Raw genomic sequence first — 23,433 nt, forward strand, 5'->3', positions numbered from 1 at the left:
GAAAAGCCCCTTATAAAACCATCAGATCTCATGAGAACTCAGTCACTATCATAAGAACAGCATGGGGGAATTACCCCGATGATCTAGTCACCTCCCACGAGGTCCCTCCCCCAAAACATAAAAATTACAATTCAGATTATAATAGAAGATACAATTTGGGTGGGAACACAGAGCCAGACCATATTATTCAATATTTCTGGGAACCTATTCCTCAGGAAAAGAAAGGGAGTGGGGGAAGAAGTTCTGTTCCATTTTGGGACTGCACAATCCCATTTAACTTTGCTTTCCAGTGGGTTTAGGTTTCTTTTTCCAGTGACTCATTTAGTAGGAGGCTGCTTCTCAGGGGGCTTCCTTTGACACCAGCACAGAGTTCCTTGAAGCCCCACCTGAGGTTGCCTTTCCCAGGAGGAGGAGGGAGGGCTGCTGGGCTGGTCTGTAAAGAAGGCAGCCTTTGTTCCATTTATCCTGAAGACAGCTGCTTCCCCTGGGGTGCCATTATGGCAGTCATTCAGGGAGCTGACAAAGAAAGCCATTTCTCTTGTGAAGACAGACACTCTTCCAGATCCACCCAAGGCACTCCTGGAAAACTGGCACCGGGTGTTTTTCATTACTCAAGTGGGTTCCAAGGCAAGCACTCAGCTCTGCCACCCTGGGCCTGGGGGAATTTCTTCCACACTTCAACGAAATAATGCGTTCATTTTTTGGCTCATTCATTCATTTAGCAAATATAGACTGCACACCTATTGTGTGCCAGGCACTGTGCTAGGCATAGGAGCACAACTGTGAATGTGGTCAATGTTTTCTTGTGCTACATTAAATAGATTTGGTCTTTGTCCATGGTTCCTGGCACAGCACTCTTGAAACCCTTGGGATTTCCAGGAAGGAGTATTTGTGGCTTGTCACCAGAAAGACTGAGTGATTAGAGGGTTGGAACTCTCAGCCCACCTGCCCACCTCCCGGGATGGGAGGAAGTGGGAGCTGGAGATTGAGCTCTATAAAAACTCTTGAACAATGAGATTTGGAGAGCTTCCATGTTGGTGAATGCAGCCATGTGCCGAGAGGGTGGCACTCCCCAGCTCCATGAGACAGACGCCCTTGTGCATGGGACTCTTTTGGACCTTGCACTGTGCACCTCTTCATCTGGCTGTTCATTTGTATCCTTTATAATTAACCAGTGTTGGGACTCAGAAAACAATTCCCCAAAACGAAGGCCTCCAAAGCCACCTCAGAAGCAAAAGTTTTTCTCTGACCTTCTGCCCTCCTGTCTCTCAGTCACACTCTCCCCAGAGGCAAGCCATACCAGAAACTAAAATTCCTCTTCCACAAGGTGGGTCATAGAAACCAGAACCCCATTTCCCCAAAGCCAGCCATAATACAATATGACTCTAACTCTCCCTCCCCTTCTGTGTAAAAACTGGCCATAAAGAAATGATCTGACCTACTTTGTTTGACTGTAGGTCATCAGACTCCCATTCCAGAGAGGGTCCTGTCCCACACCCAGAAGGAAGGAACGCTGCTCAGAGAGGCAAAGAGAATCTAGATAGATAGGCCTTGCTGGGTTTCCTCACTCAATCTATTAGCATCAGATCTCCCTTTTTGTCCAATCATATTTTTTTACATAACTCTCCATACTTTGTTGAACCTAAGCATAAAAATGGACCATTTTCCCTGTATCTTTGGGTCTTCATCCTGAAGACTCCAGGGTCACATAAAATGATGATCAAATAAATCTGTATGCCTTTTCTCCTATTCTTCTACCTTGTCAGTGATTTTCAGCGAACCTTCAGAGGGCGAAGGGTAAGTTTTCCCTTGGCCCAGACACCAGCAAATGTAAGTAAAGTATTTTTCTGAGTCCTGTGAGCCACTTTAACAATATGAAACAGGGGGAAGGGGCTGTGGGAACCCCTGATTTACAGCTGGTCAGTCAGAAATATGGGTGGCCTGGGCCCCGTGACTGGCATCTGAAATAGGGATAGTTTTGTGAGACTGAGCTCTTGACTTGTGGGGTTTGCACAAACTCTGGGTTACTAACTCTGGTGTCAGAATTGAATTGTAGGACACCCTACTGGTCTTGGAAAATTTGCTGGTGTCAGAAAACATCCCAGAGTTCCCTACCGCAATGAGCTTACCACGTGTGGCAGGGAAGAGAGATAATGAAACAAGTCATTATAATAAGATAATGAGTTTGAAGAGGGGGAAGGATGAGGTGCCCAGAGGGCCCACAGCAGGGGGATTTGTCCTAACTGAGAACAGATAGAAAGTGTCCCTGAAGTTGGGCGCAGTGTCTTGAGCCTGTAATCCCAGTACTTTGGGAGGATCACTTGAGCCTAGGAGTTTGAGATCAACCTGGGCAACATGGCGAAAACTAATCTCTACCAAAAAAAAAAAAAAAAAAGTTAGCTGGGCATGATGGCACGCACCTGTAATCCCATCTACCTGGGAGGCTGAGGTGGGAGGATCATCTGAGCCCAGGAGGTCAAGGCTGGCAAAGAGGGCAAGGAAAGAGCTCCAGGGAGAGGGAGGAGCGTGGGCCTGTGGGAGGGCTGGCTGAAGACCAGGCTGGAGGTAGAGTGGGCCTGCATTTGAAGGACACCTATGCCAAGTAAGACAAGCACTGGAATAATCCTAACCTCAGGATGATAACAACTTCACAAAGCCTTTCAGACACCTGTGGATATTTCCCCTTCAGAATGCTCCTGAGCCTCATTCATTCATTCAACAAGTGTCGAGGAAGCATGTTTCATGTGCATGTGCTGGTGAGGAGCTGGGACTACTCAGTGAAGTCAGATGCCATCTGTACAATGGAGGAAACAACAGCCTGGCCCTGAGGAGAAGCATCATGGATGCAGGCTTGCTTCTGCCCATCATCTCTTTACGGCATAGCCCTGCTTGCAGTCAGTGTGGTTTCATTGGCACTAATGTCACCTCTGCTAGCTCCAAGGAGGAGGGTGTGACCAGCCCTGGCTAATCAGAGTATCACAATCCTTTTGACCATTGTGATTGGTTCAGAAATTGACACATGACCTGAGTTCAGCCATTTAAATCCTTCCCCAGGACTTTTGGTGGAGCTAATGAGGAAGGCACCCGCCATCTGAAACAGCAAATAAGAACAGGGTGAGCCTGGAGATGTCAGGAGCTGCCTTTGCCGCCTCATGGAAAAAGCTTGCCTGAAATTAGAGCCAACACAGAGGAAAGGAGATCTAAAAGGTGGGTAGACAGATGCTTGAGTTCCTGGGTCTAGCTGTAACTCCTCCTAGATGGTTGGGTGTCTGACTTTGTAGTTACAGGAACCAACAAGGTCACTTTTTTGTTTAAGTTAATGGAAGTTGAGGCTTTCTCGACTTACAAGCAAGAATTCTGATTAATACAGCAGACACCTGGGCCACCAACTTCACAATGATCTGATAAATGCCATTATAATAGAGGAAAGACAAGGGGGCGGGACAGTGTAATGTGGGAGGGGCTGGTGCAGCTCATGCTGCTGGCCTGGCTCATCTGTGTCAGCTCCACCCTGGACGTCCCCTGTGGCATCAGAAGACAGTTTTCATGAATATTGTCGGCTTTCTAGCTCAAGGTCCTGTGTAGGTGTGTGCTCAACCCAGCCACAGGACAGGTTGGAAGTGCTGAGTGGTTAGGACTCAGGGACAAATCTTTAACCCATGAAGGATTGCATTTAGAGTTTCAGCACCCCAGCTCCCCTACTTCCGGGTGGAATAGTTCAGAGGTGTTCTTTTCTTAACCCTTCAGAAGGTCCCTGGCAGGTTGGGCTGAATTGTCCATAGATGGACCCTTTTGCTGGCTTTCCTCCTTTCTCTGTCTCACTCCCCTATTCCTCACCTGGGTATCCTGGGATCACCTCCCAAATAGAGCATTTGCACCCAAACCCTAATCTCAAGGGTCTACTTTTGGAGAACACAAACTCAGACAGAAGTCCTCTGCAGGCCAACCATATAGGTTTGGATCCCAATGATGATGCTTCCTGTTTGACTTTGGACAATGTATTTAATTGTATGCCTCAGTTTCCTCATCTATAAAAAGAAGATGGTAATTTCACCAATCTTAGAAAATTGTTGTGAGGTTGAAATGAGGTACCATATACAAAGAGCTCACAACAATGTAAGTGCTGCATAAATACCGGTTATTGTTCTTATTATTCTTCTTATTCTTGTTATTGAGTGTTGTCTAAGCACGACCCCAGGGTCTGGGAAATCTTGGAAGAGGTGACACTTCAGCTGAATCCTGAAGGATCAGCAGGAGCTGGGATGAAAAGGAAGGAGAGGGCCACATCGAGCAGAGGGAATGAAAGGCTCCACTTTGGAAGTCGCTTCTCTGTCTAAGCTAATAATTCTAGGAGATTATACCCTTTCTAAAGCATCTGAAAATACCTTCTTTGGTTACAAGATAATTTTTGATATCACTTTTTGTTTTGTATCCACTGCAGAAGAATTAGAGTAGGAGTGGCAAAAAGGACTTTGAGTCCTGTAAGAGTTAAATCACCCAAATGAGATGTGTGTGTGTGCACGTGTGTGTGTGTGTGTGTGTGTGTGTGTGTGTGTGTGTGTGTGTGTGACATTTTCTCCCAAGACAGGAAAAGGGCCTGCAGAATGTAGTCCCAAGAAGGGATATGCCATGCTCCATTTGAGTTCCTGGGTTTGACAGCAGGACTTCACAGGGGCATGTGTCTGGTGCACTTAGAGACTAAAGCCCAGACACCAGGGTCCCAGTTTGACAAAGAGCCCTGTCCCTGAGATTGGCATGAGAGCCATGGGCTTGGGAAAAAGTGTAACATCAGAGACTGGTGTTGGCTGAAGACCAGAGAGCCCTTTCCTGTATGTTTTGCTCCATATGCTGACTCTTGTTCTTGGTGGGTTGTTTTCTTATATGGTTTGTAATCTCACTTTAGTCAGGCTTTATCTACATGGTCTGGGTTGAAGATGTGGCCCTCCAGGGTGGTTCTGCTTTTGATTCTGCCTAATGTCTCAGGGGTATTACAGGCTTAGAACCAAGTTTTATGTTCTTTTCTTTTACCATATCGTGCAAGCAATGTAAATTTCAAGTCCTAAAATGGAAGCGGGCGTGTGGTTAGGAACGATCATGGAATACATTTTCCCCATGCAAAGTAGGACAAAAACAGACAAGTTTCCTTGTTGTCTCAGTTTGCTGATGAATGGATTTTACCCTAGCTAACTGTTTTGTTAAGTATATAGCTCTGCGGAGTGACAGTTTCATAAGGGGGTTTCAATTCTCATTCTTCATCTTATGTGGGACCAAGGCTTTCTCTCTGATTCACAAAAAACATTAAAATTCAAGTACTGTATTAATTGGGATATATTATTAGCAGCTTCAACAGAGACCCCAAATAGCAGTAGCTTAGATGGGAAAGTTTAGCTCTTTTTCATATGAAAGTCCATGCTGGCACTGTGAAGTAGTCAGAGGTTCAGGTTCCTTCCATATCATCACCTTATCATCCCTAGGGTGCTGACGTGGCCCGAAAGGGGTCTCAGCTATGCCTATGTTCATGGGTCAAGCTGAAAGTCATCGAAGGATTGAGAACAAGGATATGGGAGAAATAACAAGACAAGTCTCTGTAGAGACTGCAATGCCTCTGCTCCAGTGGAGTTGAGATCAGATTTGGATAATCAAAGACATGTGACACGAATTCAGCACCCATAGTAGATGGTAATTAAGCCCACAGCACTTCGAGTAGTGAGGAAACCATCAGGCTATGGGTGGTGTAGACAAGCTAAGTAGGTGTAAAGTAGTAAACATATTTGTGTATATATATGTGTGTATATATATATATACACATATATATGGTATATATGTGTGTGGTATGTCACTGTGGTGTGTGTGTGTATGGTGTGCGTGTGTATGTATGTGTGGTGTATGTGTCTATGAGTGTGAGATGCTGTACATGTCTTTGTGTCTCTGTCTCTAGTGCATGTGTTTGTACAGGTGTGTAGGGGTTATGTGTGTACCAGTGTGTATATTTATATGTGTTGTGTGCATGTGTGTCTATCCATGAGCTCTGTGAAGCTAGACCCTTTTTTCTGTCACCATTCATTGGAATAAACCATACCTTTAGGATTAAATTATTTGCTAGTCAATCATATTAAGTATAAATCTCATTCCACAAACACACGTGTGCATGAAATAAAATATCGTTTTTCTTCAGCAGAAGTTAATTTCCATCATAACTCCCATCTCTTCCTCCTTTTGAGATTGTCTGAGTTCCAGAGGACTCATGTAGCACCAGCATGTGAGACCTAGGACCAGGGCTGGGTGGGGGCAGCAGGAGGCAGGGAAACCTGTCCCAATTTCGAGGGCCAGAGGTCTGGAAGGAGATCTGGGCCCAGCTATGCTGTGTATCATACAGTGGTGGTCGAGCACCTCTCAGAGGCCCTGCTTGGGACTTGGGTTGTGGATTGTAGTCATTTGCTGTTTTGGTTGTTGATTCACTGGTGAGTGACCCCTTCTGTCCCTGCTCTTTGTGCTAGTTTAGTGCCACCCTTGGGCACATGTGAGCCAACTGCTGTCATGGAAAACTTGGTAAGTTCCGCAGCCCAGCTCTGCCATCTTGCCACTTCCACAGATCTCCCACTCACTCTGCTCTCTCAGACTGTGGCTTCCTGCCTGCCCCTCTCTGAGTCTCAGTCTGGAGCAGGCATGGTGTACCTCTCCACAACCCACCAGTGTCAACCACTGCTGCTTCTCTGCTGTCCTTTACCTAACTGGGAGAACTTTAGTCTGGGTGAGGCAGGGGGCAGGGGGGATGAGGTAAACTTTATGTCCTCCCATCAGATACTCTTGCAAATCTAATGCACATGCCCTGTGTTTTTCCTATTGCTCCCAAGGCTTAGGCTTTTGGAAATTAAAAGCCAAGAACTGACTCTTTAAATGTTTTCTCAACTTTCCGCTGTGCCTCCTTATCCCAGAGGCAAGGATACTGTGCCAAGTTGACTGATGCGGAAAGGACACATGGTGGAAAGACAGAGGAGAAAAACACATCAGAAAATACATCATGAAGCATATGACCATGCCAGGAGAACCTCATGCTGCTACTGAATAGGATAAAATAGCTTCCTGCAATCAGGACTGGGGACCCTGTTTCACACAACAGTGTCTGGCACATGTTTTTGCCCTAGAAGCCTGCATAACCCCTGAGACTTGTCATCAGTGTGACTAGCTGGGGCTGGTGTCATGGGCAATAAAGGAATTTACCAAGACAGTTGTAGGTATAGAAAGGCAGAATTATTAGAGAAGATATGAAAGTATGTTGCAAGGTTGCAATAGGCAGCACAGCAGAGAAGGGGCTACTTGCGAAGAGGCAGGGGCCGGAGGAGAGTTTACAGGGTCGTGCTGAAGGGGGCTACAAGTGGAAGAAGGTTGTGCTGCTGGGGCTACATGTGGAATAAGGTCATTGTGCCTTTGGGTTGTTTGTAATTAGCCATCTCTCAGAAAAATTATTCATGGTTCTCCCCACCTGGGGCCCCTTCCTCATTGTTGCTTACCTTTCAGGACCCTACATTCCACCCCAAGAGAAAACAATGACAAATCTTTGGCATTGGGGCAGAGAACTCGTCTTCCAACTACTTCCTGCTGGCCTGGGGTGTAGAATTGACCCTACCTATGGTTGTTGGTCTGATAGGAGACCCTGTAGGTCATTGTCCCGGATTGTGGTACTTAGGATATTGCATCTTGCTGGAGGAAGGGACTCATCACAAAGGGGGAACATGTCAAGGTGAAACTGGTGTCTTGCAGAATCCAGGGGAGATTCATAAAGGTAGCAGGCATCCCTGGGGTGAGACAGATATTCCATTCACAGCATCATTTGAAGGTGAAACTGCTCAATTCCAGTAGGGGAAATTTTGTTTCTTAAGCCAGTTACCAAAAAGGCAAAGAAAAACCTTTTGCAGTGTGACTGTTTGTCCTTATTGGAAGCCCATTTAGATAACCTGGAAGTTGAACTCAATGAAAAAGTGTTTAAATTTAATTAGACACAGCATAGGGAACCAATTTTAGAGAGACTACTATACCTTAATTACATACAATATTCCTTTTATAAATTTCCATTCATAGATTTTCTCATGACTTATGCAGACCATCTATGACACACTTGGACTTTCTGTCTTGTCCTAAACATCCCTCTTTTTAAAACAACCAGTCATTTTACTTTAGGCCAAGAATTTACCATACAAGATCCTTTCTTATATAAATCCTCTTTTCTACAACCTTCCTTACCAAAAAATACCTCTTTACTTTTATAACTTTTTTATGTCTCTCTTATTTCCTGATTCCTTTGATCTTGTTTAATATAAAACCTTTAAATAACCTTTGAATTAGACAAAAATTATTTTATTTTGTTAGGAAGTTAAGGTTTGTACTGCATATTGCTGTGTTAATACATATTGTCCATGAAGGGGGAGCAAATGAGGAGGTGATCTACATACTGTAGGTTATCCCCCCTCAAGAAATTGTTGGGTTAGATTCTTGCTAGGACTTGTCTGAATAAGTGTGAGCTATTTTTAAAACCCTGAGTTAGGTAGGACTATTTAGGTTGAAGTTATTGGTTAAAGATTTAGGTAGCTTTCCTGGGAGAAATAGGACTATTAGAGGGAAAGATGAATGCAGAGGTTGGGCAAATATTAAAGCAGGCACCCATCTTGGAAAGTATATTTCCGTCCCAAAGGGGTATGAAGTATTTAGACATTACTGGGGACTTGGGAGAATGGTAATTGGACCCTTCAGTAACATAAAGAAATGTGAATCTTTTCTTTTGGAGGGAGGGGGTGTCATTTGCTCCAATTACCCAACAGGATTTGGAGGAGAGTTGCTCAGAGAAGGAGATTAGTACAGAGTAGGCAGCTCTTGAACCCAAAAGGGAAATTTATCATTTTACTTTCCATCTCTAGGGTTGTCCTTGGCTTTGTCTTGTTGATGATAATGTTTGATTTGGAAGCCAGCTGGAGCAGAGAGCCCCTTTCTCTCAGGGCCATCAGAGGTTGGAATTCTGTCCCAGGGACACTTCAGCTCTCAGGGCAGTCTTGTTTCCAGTGGCCAAGCTTGTGACAGAGGGGGCAAGACACAGAGGGCTTTTTCCGTTTATTCCTTTGGGTCAGTTTGCTTTCCAGTGGCCTGGCCTTCTGCACTGGTGGCAGTTACCTGGAGGGATGTTCTTAGGGCAACCTGGAAGGGGCTGGGGGCTTGTAAAGCAGCCAGCAGCTGAGCCTGCCTCTTGTCCCTTTGTTTTTCTTTCTTCTTAGCCCTGTCCTCCCTATTCTGCTCTCAGTTATAAAAAACTGAGGAGGCTAATTTGAGGACTTCCTGCAATGGGGCCATGCTGTGTTACACAAGAAAACTAGATGCTCCTTTTTGAGAATCTGAGGATTAAATTTATCCTAATGTTTTAGAATGTAACCCAGAGGTGGCTCTGAATGAAAAGATGGGGTTTGTCCCATGGTGAGACTAGAAAACGACAAGCAACTGAGGATGATGTCTACTAGAGTGGGACACAAGTCGCACTTTCTCTTGGGGCAGGCATCCCACTGAAGAAAGGGGTTCCACTCAAGTCCACTGGGGGACTTCTCAGATGCATTCCTAGAGGGGTGTCCCACCTATTAGGAAGGATCTCCTGGCGTAGGGCCTTACGCTGTATGGCCAGTCCAGGCATGAGGAATGAGGGTGAAGGGAGAACTCAGCTGGAAAGCAACCTAGAAGAGGGGAGAGGAATGGGGAGACTCACTGCTCTGTGGCCACTTGAGATCACCTGATTTGGGAACACCTGGAGCAGGAAGTCTGGCTGTCTTCATGGGAGAATTTAGAGTGAGAAAGAGGTGGTCCGAGTTCCCCAGAACATGTGCAGGTTTGTCTTGGTTGAGCTTTCACCACCAATCATGCTATAAGTAAGGATTGGGGGCTTTTGACTAGAAAGGATAAGAGAGAGCCTTATTCCCTTCTGGGAAAGACAGCCAACCCTGTTTACCCCCTGGACTTCAGGCAACACCAGAGAGCAGCCCTGACCAGTTACTGTAAGTTGACAAAGGGATACTAGACGTTGGCTGCTGGAAGACTGAAAAGGAGAAACTGAACTAAGGTCCCTCATCTGATCAGGTGATGGTGGTAAGATGCTTCCACATGGACACCTTCTAGCTTCATCAGGGTATAGCCCTGCCAGAGACTGTCAGTTGTTTCTGTTTTTGTGTGCTGTCCACGAAGGGTCCCCAGTTGGAAGAGAGAAAGGGAAAGGGGAGAGAGGTCCCTGTAAGAGCCAAAGAAATATTGTAGGTGCGAATAGCTGGGGCTGGTGTCATGGGCCATAAAGGAATTTACCAAGACAGTTGTAGATAAAGAAAGGCAGATTTATTAGAGAAGCTATGAAAATACGTTGCAAGGTTGCAATGAGCAGCACAACAGAGAAGTGACTGTCTGCAAATAGGCAGGGGCTGGAGGGAAGTTTTATAGGGTCATGCTGAAGGGGGCTACATGTGGAACAATGTCATTGTGCCCACCAGTTGTTTGTGACTAGCCATCTCTCAGAAAAATTGGTCATTGTTCTCCCCAACCTGGGGCTCCTTCCTCATTGTTGCTTACTTATCTTATCAGGACTCCGTAAGACTATTTGAAATTTATAGTGAAAACTATGTATATTTCCCCATCTAGTCTAACAGGTTGTAGACTTATTTCAAAGTAACAGCAAATAACACAAATATTTTCCCAAATCCAATATTTACAGGAAATGCACCAGTCTCTGATCTGCCCCTGATGTAAGTGTCAGATGTGCTTCCAGGGCTGTGGCCCATTCCTGTGGCTGGCCAAGGGTCCAGCCTGACCAACAGAACGTTGCTGTAACTCTAGGAATGAGTGCACACTCAACCTGAGCCGGGGCTTATTGGCTGTACCTCAGGGTTGCCAGCCTTTGTCAAGCTTCCTACTTTGTGGTCCTTCTGGCCTACACTCCTACGGCAGATGGTCAGGGTCACCTTTCATGAGAAGGGAATATGTATTGGTAGCCAGGGGCCTGCATGCCATTTCTGGCACAAACACATTGCAGGTTGCAAATCCCTGCTTCACCTTTATGAAAATGGTATTGATGACCTTCAGGGCAGAGCAGTGTTTTCTTAAAGTAGCTTCTGTCCAAAGGTAATAGACATTATTTGAAAATAGGATTCTGTGATCAAATCTCTTTAGCAGGTCAACTTCTCAGAGTCTGTAATATGCAACAGTGCATCATCATACATGTCCAAGATGGGGGTATTTATAATATGCGATGTGAACTAAATTCACTTGGCCACTGAACACTCTGACCCTGATAGGTCCCAGTGATGCTGCTAGGTGGAACACGCTTTAAGGAATGTTGTGTGGCACACCTCTCTTCTTACAATATATTGTTCTGTGGCTCTGACCATCTTGGTTTGGGGTTAGAGAAAATATTAGCTTGTCTAAGCTAAGTGACTGAGAAGCAGCAATTTGCAATCATTATGGAGGCAGCAACTCATTATTCCTGTAAATTTCCAGGTAAAGAAATCAATGGCTGGGTTGTTGCCACGACTTATTTCAGAGCTGAGTTTTTCTGGCTTTGTCTAAGGTCCAAGTTGTTTCTTTTATTTATGATTTCTTTTTTGAAATACAAGCACAAACTTCAAAACCCTAAAAGATGGTGGAGACTGTGTAAAGTGCCTTAATGTCTTTCCAGGTGAAAAATCAGTAGCAAATTCATTATTACATTATTTCATCCACCTGCTATTTAGTACCCACTAGGTACTGAGGCCTACAGAACATATAAAGTTGAATAAAGCAAAATCCCTACTCTTTATTACATTCTATGCCAGCTCTGTCTGATGTCTTCAGCCATTTATGGTCTAGAAAATGTTACAGTAACACATTTATAGATAAAGGGACCCATCTGGAGATGAATGAAGTAAGTGGCTGCCACAGATTTGCTGCTGTGAGGTGAAAAACTGTTCCAAGGCAGCAGGATAAGGAAGGAAGATGATTACTTCCTTTCCACTTAATTTCAAAAGATCTGAAATAAGGGCATGGGACCCATCTCAAGATGAGTTGTTCAATAGATGTGAGGATCCAGGCTTGGAAATGTGAGCATTGTGGACAAAAGGAGGCTAACTCCACCAACAGCTCAGAGCCAGTGATTCCAGGTGATCTAAACCTCTTTGTTCACTGTTGAAGACAGCATCTCTTAGATTTCCTAAATCCCACCGTTGGGAACAGCCAAGCCAGTGTTTCATTACAATCTTGGCCCTAAAACAGCATAGTTCATCCAAGAATGACAGGGTTTTATGAACAGAAATTAGGCTTTGGACCAAGTTTGTAATAAATCTTAAGCTTCATTATATAGGTGAGGAAAAATGACCAACTGCTGGATGACAGATTTGCCATGGAGCAAGAGAATAGACTCTGTGCCATTTCAGGAAGGTTCCACGGCAGATTTTCACTGACTTGTGGGGTGACTTTCTTTGGGGGCAGTAGTGTGGAAGGAGGATAATAAAAGGCAAAGGATAAAGAGAGGAGCAGTTTGGGGTGGATGTTCCCTTCATTCACTGCTCCATCAAAATCACTTGAACCCCCAATGAATGGTAGCATTATATGATGCTTAATACATCTTAAAGGAGAAAACCAAATCATTTTTTTTCTATTCAAGTCTAATGAAGATCTATGTGAAAAATGGAGTTTTCTCTCTTACTCAAAATGAACAAAAGGTCTGTTAATAATGTTAGGATGTGACCTCACTGAGGTTAAAAATATTTGCTTATGTAAAAAATGGCAGGTAAACCATTCAGGACTAATGTAAGCAACAAGAAATATAAGAGAGAAGAGGAAATGAAAATGCAGTGGCAACAACAGACTTGGATTAACACCAGTATTTTCAAAAGAGCCCAAACAATTTCAGATTCAATAGAAACCACTTTGCCAAGGACTCCGATGCATTTCATCTATCAGCAGGCTTGCTGCCGTTTCCTAAAGAACGCCCCTGGGATCTGCCGTTTCCCCTTGGTTCCTATGCCAAAGCCAGCCCTGTTCTCTCTTCCTCATACTGTAGCCATCATTGTGTGGCCACAAAGCTGCCAGGTCGCTCTGTATGCTGCCACTGTTATAAACCACCCTCATGCACTCATGCATTTTTTTCTCCATCTGTAATGAAGGACATTACAGATCATTTATGAGATGACCATTGCTGAGCCTAAACAAGGAAACTCAGACTGGTCCTGGGTTGTTTGGTGACCTGCTGAGGCCCACAGGCCCACAGATATTTGATTTCTTTTTTGGAATCTTTTCTTTTTGGAATCTTTTGCTCTGACTGAGAGGGAGACGTGATGCCTAGAGTTGGGGAGTTCTAGGTCTCATTGGAAGGGATGTGGGGGGCTGTGCCCTTCTCTGGTTCCATGGACAGTTTTCTGAGCTCTTCTAAGAAAGAAGGGTGAACAACAGAAGCTGGGGAAGTTGCTTTTATAAAATGACCCATGATGCTGGGGTATGACTATATGATGGAAGGTGGAGGTGAGATGCCCAGAGAATGCTGCTTGGTCTTCCCCTCCCCGCCCCCAGGTGACAGTGTGTTGCAGACGTGTTTCCTACTGCTACAGAAAACTCAGCCTCTGCCTGGTCACATGTGGCATGGCAGCTTTGAGAACAGAAGCCTGTGATGAAGCAACTACAGGTTGGCCAGGAACCTGGTATAGATTAATGAGTGGGTAATCATATACTCTATCTGGGAGTATATGAGGGAGAATGAACTCAAAACATTGAAAAGAATGAGCCAATTGGGAATTTGAGACAGAGACTGCTAGGGCCCACCAATATCTGGGTGCTCTGCTCCTTCTGTGGGCATAGCTAGACAACATTTCCCCACCCCCTTGCATCTAGATGGGACCATGCAATTAGTCCTGGCCAGTGAAATGTGGCTGGAAGTGTTGCACACCACTTCCAGGCCTGCCTTCTTAAATCTTCTGTGAGATCATACATAGTCTCTCTTTATTTGTCTGCTGGCTAGATGCAGAGGATCTAGGAGAGAACTCTGAAGTCCTAGAGGGTAGCTGAGCCACAAGATGGGAGGAACCTGGATCCCTCAGTGACTGTGTGGACCAGTCTCTCATACCATACTACATCCCCATCTTTACTGCATTGTGATACAGAGGAAAAAATTAAAACTTTGTTATGTGAAACCACTGAGATTTGGAGCTTGCTTGTTACAGTTGAAGGAAACCAAAACATTTCTCCTCAAAACACTGAGGATTGCTAAGTTAAAAACACTAAAAATGCAGGGGAACACTCTGCCTCAGCCTCTATTTGCTTGACAGCAGGACATAAATCCTTCCTTACTGGACACTTGCTTATTGGCCCAGAGAAGGCAGCAGGAGGCACCAGAGGAATCTGGAAATAGATTCTACTATTTTCCACTTTCTCCCGCCTTTTCAAAGACGGGAATGTCTCTCTCTTTTGTCTTGACACTATGTACTATTTATGGCTCTTTGTTAAAACATTATTTAAGCAAAGCCTCTAAGCCACTGCCTCGAGAGAGAAATACTTTTGAGGCCTCTCCCACATGACAGGTACAGCACTTGTTAATAAACTTCTGCTTCTTTTTCTTTTATTATTGTGACTTTTGTTTTTAGGAGAGTGTCTCAACTAAGAACATAAAAATGCAAAGAAATAAATTATGTTTTCTCCCTTCCATAGTCGTTACCATACTGACTAATACAGAACTGAAGCTGAAAAGCCATGATGTAGAGAGAGGGGCCAAGATTATCTATTTCCTTCTTGAAAGTTTTTCCCTGAACTTTCCAGAAGTACAAATAAGAGTAAAAACATATCCCTGGACACAGGAGCTGGCGACCTAACTGGCTTGTTTTGAGTTTAAATTTCTTCTTAATGCCCTGAATGGAAATATTTGACTTCCTCTCTGTAATATATTCATGTTTGCTTCAATATAAAAATACTATTTATAAAGATTTAGCCCTCAAGTTAAATGGACTTTTAACCTGTGCCTTGGCATCCGCATGTAATAGTCACATTTAAGTTTGGCTCCAAAGATTACTTCCCTCCCTCTTTCCTGGTCATTTGGTAAAAAGCAAAGCGACTTCATGAAACCACCTATGTAGGGGTTCAGTAAGTTAGCACTCTTTAGATTTCAGATGCCTGCTTTCATTCTTTAAAAACAAAAATAAAAACAACTTTGATCCATTTTTTAATACTGATGTTATAATATTAAAATGTTTAATAACTTGGTTTGACAAAAAACAGCATATTTTTTAAAAAGTCTCGAGATTTGTTAAACAATACAAAATTACAAGGCCTGGTGTGGTGGCTCATGCCTGTAATCCCAGCATTTTGGGAGGCTGAGGTGGGCAGATCACCTGAGGTCAGGAGTTCAAGACCAGCCTGGCCAACATGGTGAAACCCCATCTCTACTAAAAATACAAAAATTAGCTGGGTGTGGTGGCAGGTGCCTGTAATCTCAGCTACTTGGGAAGCTGAGGTAGGAGAATCACTTGAACCTGGGAGGCAGAGGTTGCAGTGAGCTGAGACCGCACCATTACACTCCAGCCTGGCAACAAGAGCGAAACTCTGCCTCAAAAAAAAAAAAAAAAGAATATGAAATTACAGCTAGATAGGAGGCATGAGTGCTAGCGTTCTATAGCACTGTAGGATGACAAAGTTAACAATAATATATCACATAATTTTAAATAGCTAGAAAGAGGATAATGAATGTTCCCAACACAAAGAAATTAGAAATGTTTGAGATGATGGATATGCTAATTACTTTGATCTGATCACCTATACCTTATATGTATTGCAACATCACTATGTACCTTATAAATATGTATAATTATTATATGTCAATCAAAAATAACAAAATACATTGTCTGGACTTTTTATTGAAGCTATGTCCTTCTTTGGGGTGGGGCAGCCAAGGTGTGAGATGGCGAATGCCTTTTTGCTACCTTGTATTTACATCTCAGTGAATTTTCCTCGTGTTCTAACTTGGGTCAGACTGCCTGGGAGGGTGAGACTTTAGGCCAGAATCACAGCCTGGACCCTGGAGAGTCCTCTAAGCCAACACTTGACCTTCAAACAGGAATCCATCAAGACTACCTTAGATCAGGGAGGAGACACCTGAGCCAACTCTTCGCCAAACTGGAAACTCCCCATTCTCTTTATGTTTTCTCTCTCTCTCTCTCTTTTTTTGAGACAGGGTCTTGCTCTGTCACCCAGGCTGGAGTGAAGTGGTGTGATCTCGGCTCACTGCAGCCTTTGCCTCTCAGGTTCAAGCAATTCTTGTGCTTCAGCCTCCCTAGTGGCTGGGATTACAGGCGCCAGCCACCAACCCTGGCTAATTTTTGTATTTTTAGTAGAGACAGGGTTTCACCCTGTCATGTTGGTCAGGCTGGTCTTGAACTCTTGACCTCAAGTGATTTGCCCGCCTCAGCCTCTCAAAGTGCTGGGATTACAGGCGTGGCCTGTATGCCCGGCCCCTTTATGTTTTCACAGTGTCCTTCTTGGCTACTCCTTAATGATTTAGCTGGATGAATCTCTGAGAAATTCACTGTCCTCGGCAGCACAAGCTTGCTGAGCTGCTGCCATCAGCCAAGGGGTGAGTGTGAGAAAGGAGTGGCCCTTAGACCCACTTCTCCACGTCTCATCTTAATTTTATCATACAGTCTTTACCATAGACTTAACAACCATTATGTTAATATAATACCTTGAGAAAAGTTGTTGGAACCCAAAATAATTGAAAGCAGTGACCTGAAGATATATTGGTATGCCCACATTCATAGCAGCATGATTCAGAACAGTCAAAAGGTGGAAGAAGCCCAAGTGTCCATCGACGGATGAATGAATGAACAAAATGTGGCATACTCATACGATGGGATATTATTATTCAGCCTTAAAAGGGCAGGAAACTCTGACACATGCTACAACATGGATAAACTTTGAAGACATTATATTAAGTAAAATAATTCAGTCTCAAAAAGACAGATATTGTTTGATTCCACGTCTATGAGGTACCTAGAGAAGTTAAACTCACAGAAGAGGAAAGTAGAATGAATGGTGGTTGCAGGGGCTGGGGCAGGGAGGAATGGGGGTTATTGCTTAATGGGACTGAGTTTCAGTTTGGGAAGATGAAAAAAGTTCTTGAGATGGATGACGGTGATGGTAGTACGACAATGTGAATATACTTAAGGCCACCGGACTTATACTCAAAAGTGGTTAAAATGGTTAATTTTATGTTATGTGTATTTTATCACAATTTAAGAAAGTTGTTGAAGAGTCATAACATAGGGAGAATGTGTTGGGGTGGAGGCAAAGATTCCCTCGCCCCCTTCTCATCCCCAGATACAACTCTGCAGTTGGAGTAATGTATTTAGTTTAATGTTTTGTTTGCACACAAGCACGCATTTCATAATTTATTTTGCTGCATTGGGCTTCTGAGCTAAGGGACTAAAATGGTAATTTCCCATTTTTTCTTCACAGAAAAGAGCCAGGCTTTTGCATCCTTAATTTCTGTGCTCCCTTGCGCCATGGGGAATGATCAGCTTTTCTGTGTCTTACAGGCTACTGAAAAGACCACCATCTTCCCAGGTCTTTATCTGGTTGTTCAGGACCCATCTAGGGAGCGTCAGGGGTTGCACAAAATGGAGAGGGTTTGGAGCAGCGGGGTGCATCGTAGGAACTTGAGATGAGGCTTTTGAAGGGCTGGAAGAAGTTGCGGCCTTAATGCTAGGAAGGGTTTGGGGTTGGTGGATTTTGTGGGGCCCCATTGAGATATTATGTTAATACCTGGGAGAAAGGGGGAGCCCCTGGTTGTAGCAAAGGTTTTCAAGGCAGGGTCTGTGGTTAGCAGGGAGGTGCCCCATTCATGCACACTATGGCAGGTGGTGGGGAGAAGTGCCCTCCTAGGATATCCAACCAACACTGGCAGTGGCAGCGACATGACAAAAGGCGCACCCAAGACAACCACCATGGGTTAAGGAACAGGCTGCATCTTTATTTTTCAGGACCAGCTAAGCTTCCTGTCCTTGTGCCAGTCACTGAAGGGAGCAGAGGGAGCCTGGGCTTAGGGGGCAGGGGAGGAATAAGCACTCAGAGCTGGGCATGAGTCAGCTGGAAAGAAACAAAGAAGCGTGTCACTGCCCACACCTTTAATAAGTGCCTTGGAATGCTCCCGGCTCTCACAGTGGCGCATGTTTTACTCTGCATCCCATCTGTGGCTTCTATTGTCTTCTCACACTGTGGGACACTTAAGGAGATGTGACAGATGGCTGTGTGTGTGCTCCGTCCCTACAGGCAGTGTGCATTTTTAAAAATTCCTTTTTCTTTAGTGAAAAAAAAATGATTTTTCTTTATAGCAAAAGCAATACATTGTTTTGCTATTGTAGAAAAGTATGAGAAGAAAATGAAAGTCTCCCATAATGCAACAGTGATTCAGATAATCACTATTACCGTTTTCATGTATTTCCTTCCCAGGGTTCCTCCCGCATTGTTTAATCTGTCCTTAGCCACGGTTCCTCTTCAGGTCTCGCTGCCCCGAGTGAGCTGATGGACCTGTGGTCAACCTTTCACATTCCCCAGGCACAGGTTCCCACAGTAGCACACTGAATTAGGAAGGTGGCATGTGACACAGAACAGAGAAAAAGCTTACCTGCCTACAGGGGACATCGACTTACCACTGTCTCAGCTGATTCCTCACCAACCACACCTAATCTCGATCCAGGCAGTTTAGTTGCCATTGAGCTGGTTTCAAAAGTTTATCGGAACTTACACAACATTTATTTTTAAAAACAAGATTGTAAGGGTGGTTAGGTTGGCAGGCCAGCTCACAAAAACTGAGGTGACCAACAAGGTAACTTAGAAATCATTGATAACAGTTCTGAACACAGATTCTAACCCCTTCTAAATTCTGGTCTCTCTGAGACTCAAGTGCCATGTCTGGAATCCCTCCCCCTTATTTGGGGCCCCTCTAAATCTCCATGGTGTGTAGGTTCCACTAGGCAGATGGCAGTGAAAGATCAAAAGCAAGGTGAGAGAACTCAGATGGGAGCGGCATGGTATCATCTACGAGTGCACTGCTGCTCATTTGGGAGTCGGAGTTGAAACCACAGGCTTTGGAGTCAGTCCTGCCCCAGGTTCAAATTCCAGCTCTGCCTTTCATTAACTGTGTGGGTTTGGGCACACCACTTAACCTGTTTAAGTCTTGGTTTTTTCATCTGTAAAATGTGAAATAGGCCAGGCACGGTGGCTCATGCCTGTAATTCCAGCACTTTGGGAGGCCGAGGTGGGTGGATCACCAGAGGCCAGGAATTCAAGAGCAGCCTGGCCAACATGGTGAAACCCCGTCTCTACTAAAAATACAAAAATTAGCCAGGTGTGGTGGTGCACACCTGTAATCTCAGCTACTCAGGAGGCTGAGGCAGGAGAATCGCTTGAACCTGGGAGGCAGAGGTTGCAGTGAGCCAAGATCACGCCACTTCACTCCAGCCTGGGCGACACAGCAAGACTCCATCTCAAAAAAAAAAAAAAGTTAAATAATACATCTTTCTAAAGATGTTTGTGAAGATTAGAGGAGACAAGACATCATTTGTCAGACTTGAGAATGACATATCTTACAGATGCCCACTGCTGATGTGAACTATTTATGTTAGACCACAAATAACTGATAAGTATGTGAGTTAATACATATGTTAATTAGCTTGATTCAGCCATTTCACAATGTGTACATATTTCAAAACATGTTGTGCACCATAAATATATAAAACTTTTATTTGTCAATTTAAAAAACAACAATTCTTCCATACTGACAAATAGACTCTTACACAACTATAAAGCCAAAGGCAAGTTTACAAATAAATAAAAACCAAAAACAAGCCAACAAAGTTAAAACTGAAGTGTGTTGGATGATGTTATTTTGCTGAAATTAATTGAGCTTCTCGAAATGTTGGTTTCTAGTGATACCAGGACATGGTTCTTTAGAGCTTGGCATCCTTAGACTACCATATACTCAATGATGATTTTACTCACCCAAACCTTTCCTTAGTCTAGTGGTTGTAAACTGGAGGACCGTAGGCTGTATGTAGTCCGTGAACATGTTTTATTTAATTCTCACAGTGTTAATTTTTTCAATTTATTGCTATTATAGAAGAATTTAAAATTTTTATGTAAAATTTGCCTTTCCAGCTTCTCTTGAAAAGCTGGAAAATCAAGCCCCACAGGGTCCATATTTCCAAGAGGCCACAAGGTCGAAGCTGAACAATAGCCCCTAGAAGCCTGAGCCTGGGCTTCTAGTCTGCCCCTGACTCCACACCACCAGCTTCATTCATTCATGGACCCTACCAACTCCTATAGGCATTTAGGTTTGTGATGCCTTCTCTATGTGGGTTAGTGAAAAGCATCTGTCCTTTCTTCACCAGCCAGTGACAATTAAAACAGCACTTCCAGATACCAACAAAAGATAAGAAACCCAAGTGCCAACAGTTGCTGAAATGAGCAGTCCATAGCTCTAAGGTGCCCATCCAGAAGACCTGGCCAATACACTTCTGTGAGAGCATTTTGAAATTATTATTGAAATAGAAATAAAAAATGTTTAAAGTATCTTAGGGAATTCTTAGTCCCTCTGGGATCCCTGAACCCCAGTTTGAGAACCACTGAGTTAAGGATGTCAAGGACTTAGAACAGTGCCTGGAATAGAGAAAAGACCTAATAAAAAGGCAGGGTGAGGATCTGGATGGCAAAGCCTGAACAATGGGAGAGCGAGTGCTCTCTATGGGCTGCCCACCTGACTCTCGAGCCACTGGGGTATGTTCACTGACGTTCAACTTCTGGTTCACAATGGTTTGCAGAGCCCCTTCTTTGGGATTGTCCTCCACTCTGAGAGCTCTATCCTTAAGATTTCATCCTCCTGGACTTTATTACAGGGACCAGGGTAGCAGAAGAGGGCTCCTCCCTTCCTCCCTCGGAAAAGACACCACACACTTTTAGCTTCTTGGAGTCACTGCATTCAGCTCGTTAATCTGTGCCTTGTGGAAATTTGGATACACAATTGGAGTCAGGGCCTCCTGGAAATCAACTGGGTAAGGCATTTGCTGATTTGTTTCACATCACTTTACAAAAGGGGGTGGGAGAGTTAGGTGAGATACTGTGCTTATTTGATTTGAACAGTCTTAGAGAAATCACCAATACCAGAGAAAGGTAGGAGTATAGGCCTGGTGATCACTCGCCAGAATCACAGGATGCCATTGCGCATTGTCTAGGGTAGGGACACATTTCTAAATCCAAAGTGCCCAATAATAATCAGGATCAGGTTGATCACTAGCAAAGGGTGAGCCCATGCATGGCCTGAGCATTGCTGAGAAGTAAATGAAAAGAGAAAAACCCAAAACTATAAGACGTAGAAGTTCATTTTGCCTTTGTAGATCAAATCGAGTTTCCAGGGCAGGCAACCTTTGGAGAGCCACATCTGAGTGTGCACCCTTTGAAGTTTCTTTGCTAGCTTAGGAGGAATGGATAGTAATGAGAATGAAGACTCAAGGAGGGAAACATGGGGAAGAAGTGGTGCCTGAGTCTTGCAGGAGCTGCCGGAGGAGGCCGGGAGGAAACTACACAGGGCAGAGGAAGGGGAGAGAGGGATGAGAGCCCTTCAAGTACTTCTCTGAGTGTTGGCCAGGGAGAGAGAGAGAGGCTGCTTAAGGGCAGGACGGTATACAGGATTCACTCACAGAAGCCAGTCAATTCCTCATTGTCAAAACCAACAGCACATGCTACACGGGGCACAATCATGCCTAGTCCTACTCCACTATGTCAGCAAAGAGGCTCACCAACCATGGGGAAGAAGCCTTCTCTCCAGTGGCTGGTGCTGCCGAGAACCAAGTAAGGGACTGTCCATGTGTTATCAATTCAGGTGTCACAAATACACTTGTCGTCCTTACAGTCTGTCCCAGTGGCCAGATGGACATTCCCATAGGAAGAATCACACTGTGTCCTCTACGTGGTGATAAACAAAGGTTTGATGAAGTCAGGACATTGTCCTTGAAGGCCTTTGTTGAAGCATACATGTATTACTTAGGAAGGTCACCTGGGAGCATGTTCTCGGCCACTAACACTTGCCTAAGAATTGCTTTGTTACGTTGACCTAGGGTGGTTTTAGCGAGGGTGAGTGACAGAGGAGGGCGACACAGACACAGGAGGGATGAGTCTGCATAGGGAGGAAGGGAAGGAGAAGCAAACAGTCTGCATCCTGGGGTGAAGCGTGAGAAGGAACACAGCGTACTGCAGGGGTCCTGAGGGCCCAGAGTACTGGAAGATGCTGATCGCCATCTTTGCAGATAGAAGTAACGACCTGCCACTCTTGTCCACTTAACCAGACCTAGTGAAAGCTCCACCTGCCCGCGGTGACGGAAGGATGCCTCTATACTGATTGCCCAGGACAGCAGCCTGAGGGGACAATGGAGAGGAGAAAGAATCCCTAAGTTTCCTTTAGAAGCAAACACCTCCCATTTTGCAGATGAATAAACTGAGACTCAGAAAAGTCTTGGACTAAACCAGGGATCCACCCCCCACCCCGCCAAGAAAAGTAATATTTTATACGTGTTAAGCATTTGCAGGAACTTCTGGGTCTGTTCTCATGAATTTAAACTCTGGACCAGGTCTGTCTGAATTTGCAGAAATATTTAGTTTCATTTGTGTTTCTTCATGTTAACTCATGTGCTAAGAACAATACCGAGAATTCTCTATGGTATATTTCTGTCATGGGGCCAGCTGTGGAACAAGAAACAGAAGGAACAAGAAGCAAGAAAAGACCTTCAAAGTACCTTCTGACCGGCATTGCTGAATTCCAGAGCCCAGGATTCTGGAGAAAACTCTGCCTTCAGTTCTCATAAAAATCGGTGAGCCTGGAGGAATGAAAAGTCCTGTAAGTGAGAGAGGACATTTAAACCTAGAGTATAGTTCCTCAGATAAGCATTTCCCTTTATTATCCTGGTTTTCTTCACCTGCACAGGAGAAGTGAATTCCAAAGCAATTCTGGTTTTGCACCACTTAATGCTTCAGTAAAAACCTCAGCTTTAGTCGTTGTCATGGGCTGAATCGTGTCCCCATGAAGATATGATGAGGTCTTATTCTCCAGAACCTCAGACGTGACCTTTGAAAATAGGGTCATTGAGATGTAATTAGTTAGGAAAAGGTCATACTAAAGCAGGTGAGCCCTTAATTTAATATGGCTGGTGTCCTTATTTTAAAAATGATATGAAGATACAAGGGAAGAAGGCCATGTGATGATGGAGGCAGAGCTTGGGCTGACACAGCCGCAAGCCAAGAAATGCCCAGAGCTGCTGCAACACCAGAAGCCAGACAAGGCCTGGAGCAGATGTAACCTCAGAGCCCCCAGGAGAAACCAGTCCTGCTGACACTGTGATTTCAGACCTCCAG

At 44.4% G+C, this 23,433-nt stretch overlaps 1 long non-coding RNA gene across 2 annotated transcripts in view; it reads left to right on the top strand.

Annotated features, from left to right (window-relative positions):
* LOC124901607 (uncharacterized) overlaps window positions 1–23,433 on the top strand; it is a 95,727-nt gene continuing 72,294 nt past the window's right edge. Inside the window, exon 1 of one of the 2 annotated variants that reach the window (XR_007060273.1) lies at window positions 1–23,433. This exon is cut by the window's right edge and continues 12,293 nt beyond it. This is a non-coding gene — a long non-coding RNA (uncharacterized LOC124901607). The other variant, XR_007060274.1, reaches the window with a different exon arrangement.

Source organism: Homo sapiens, chromosome 7, assembly GCF_000001405.40.
Source record: "Homo sapiens chromosome 7, GRCh38.p14 Primary Assembly".
Classification (NCBI taxonomy): domain Eukaryota; kingdom Metazoa; phylum Chordata; class Mammalia; order Primates; family Hominidae; genus Homo; species Homo sapiens.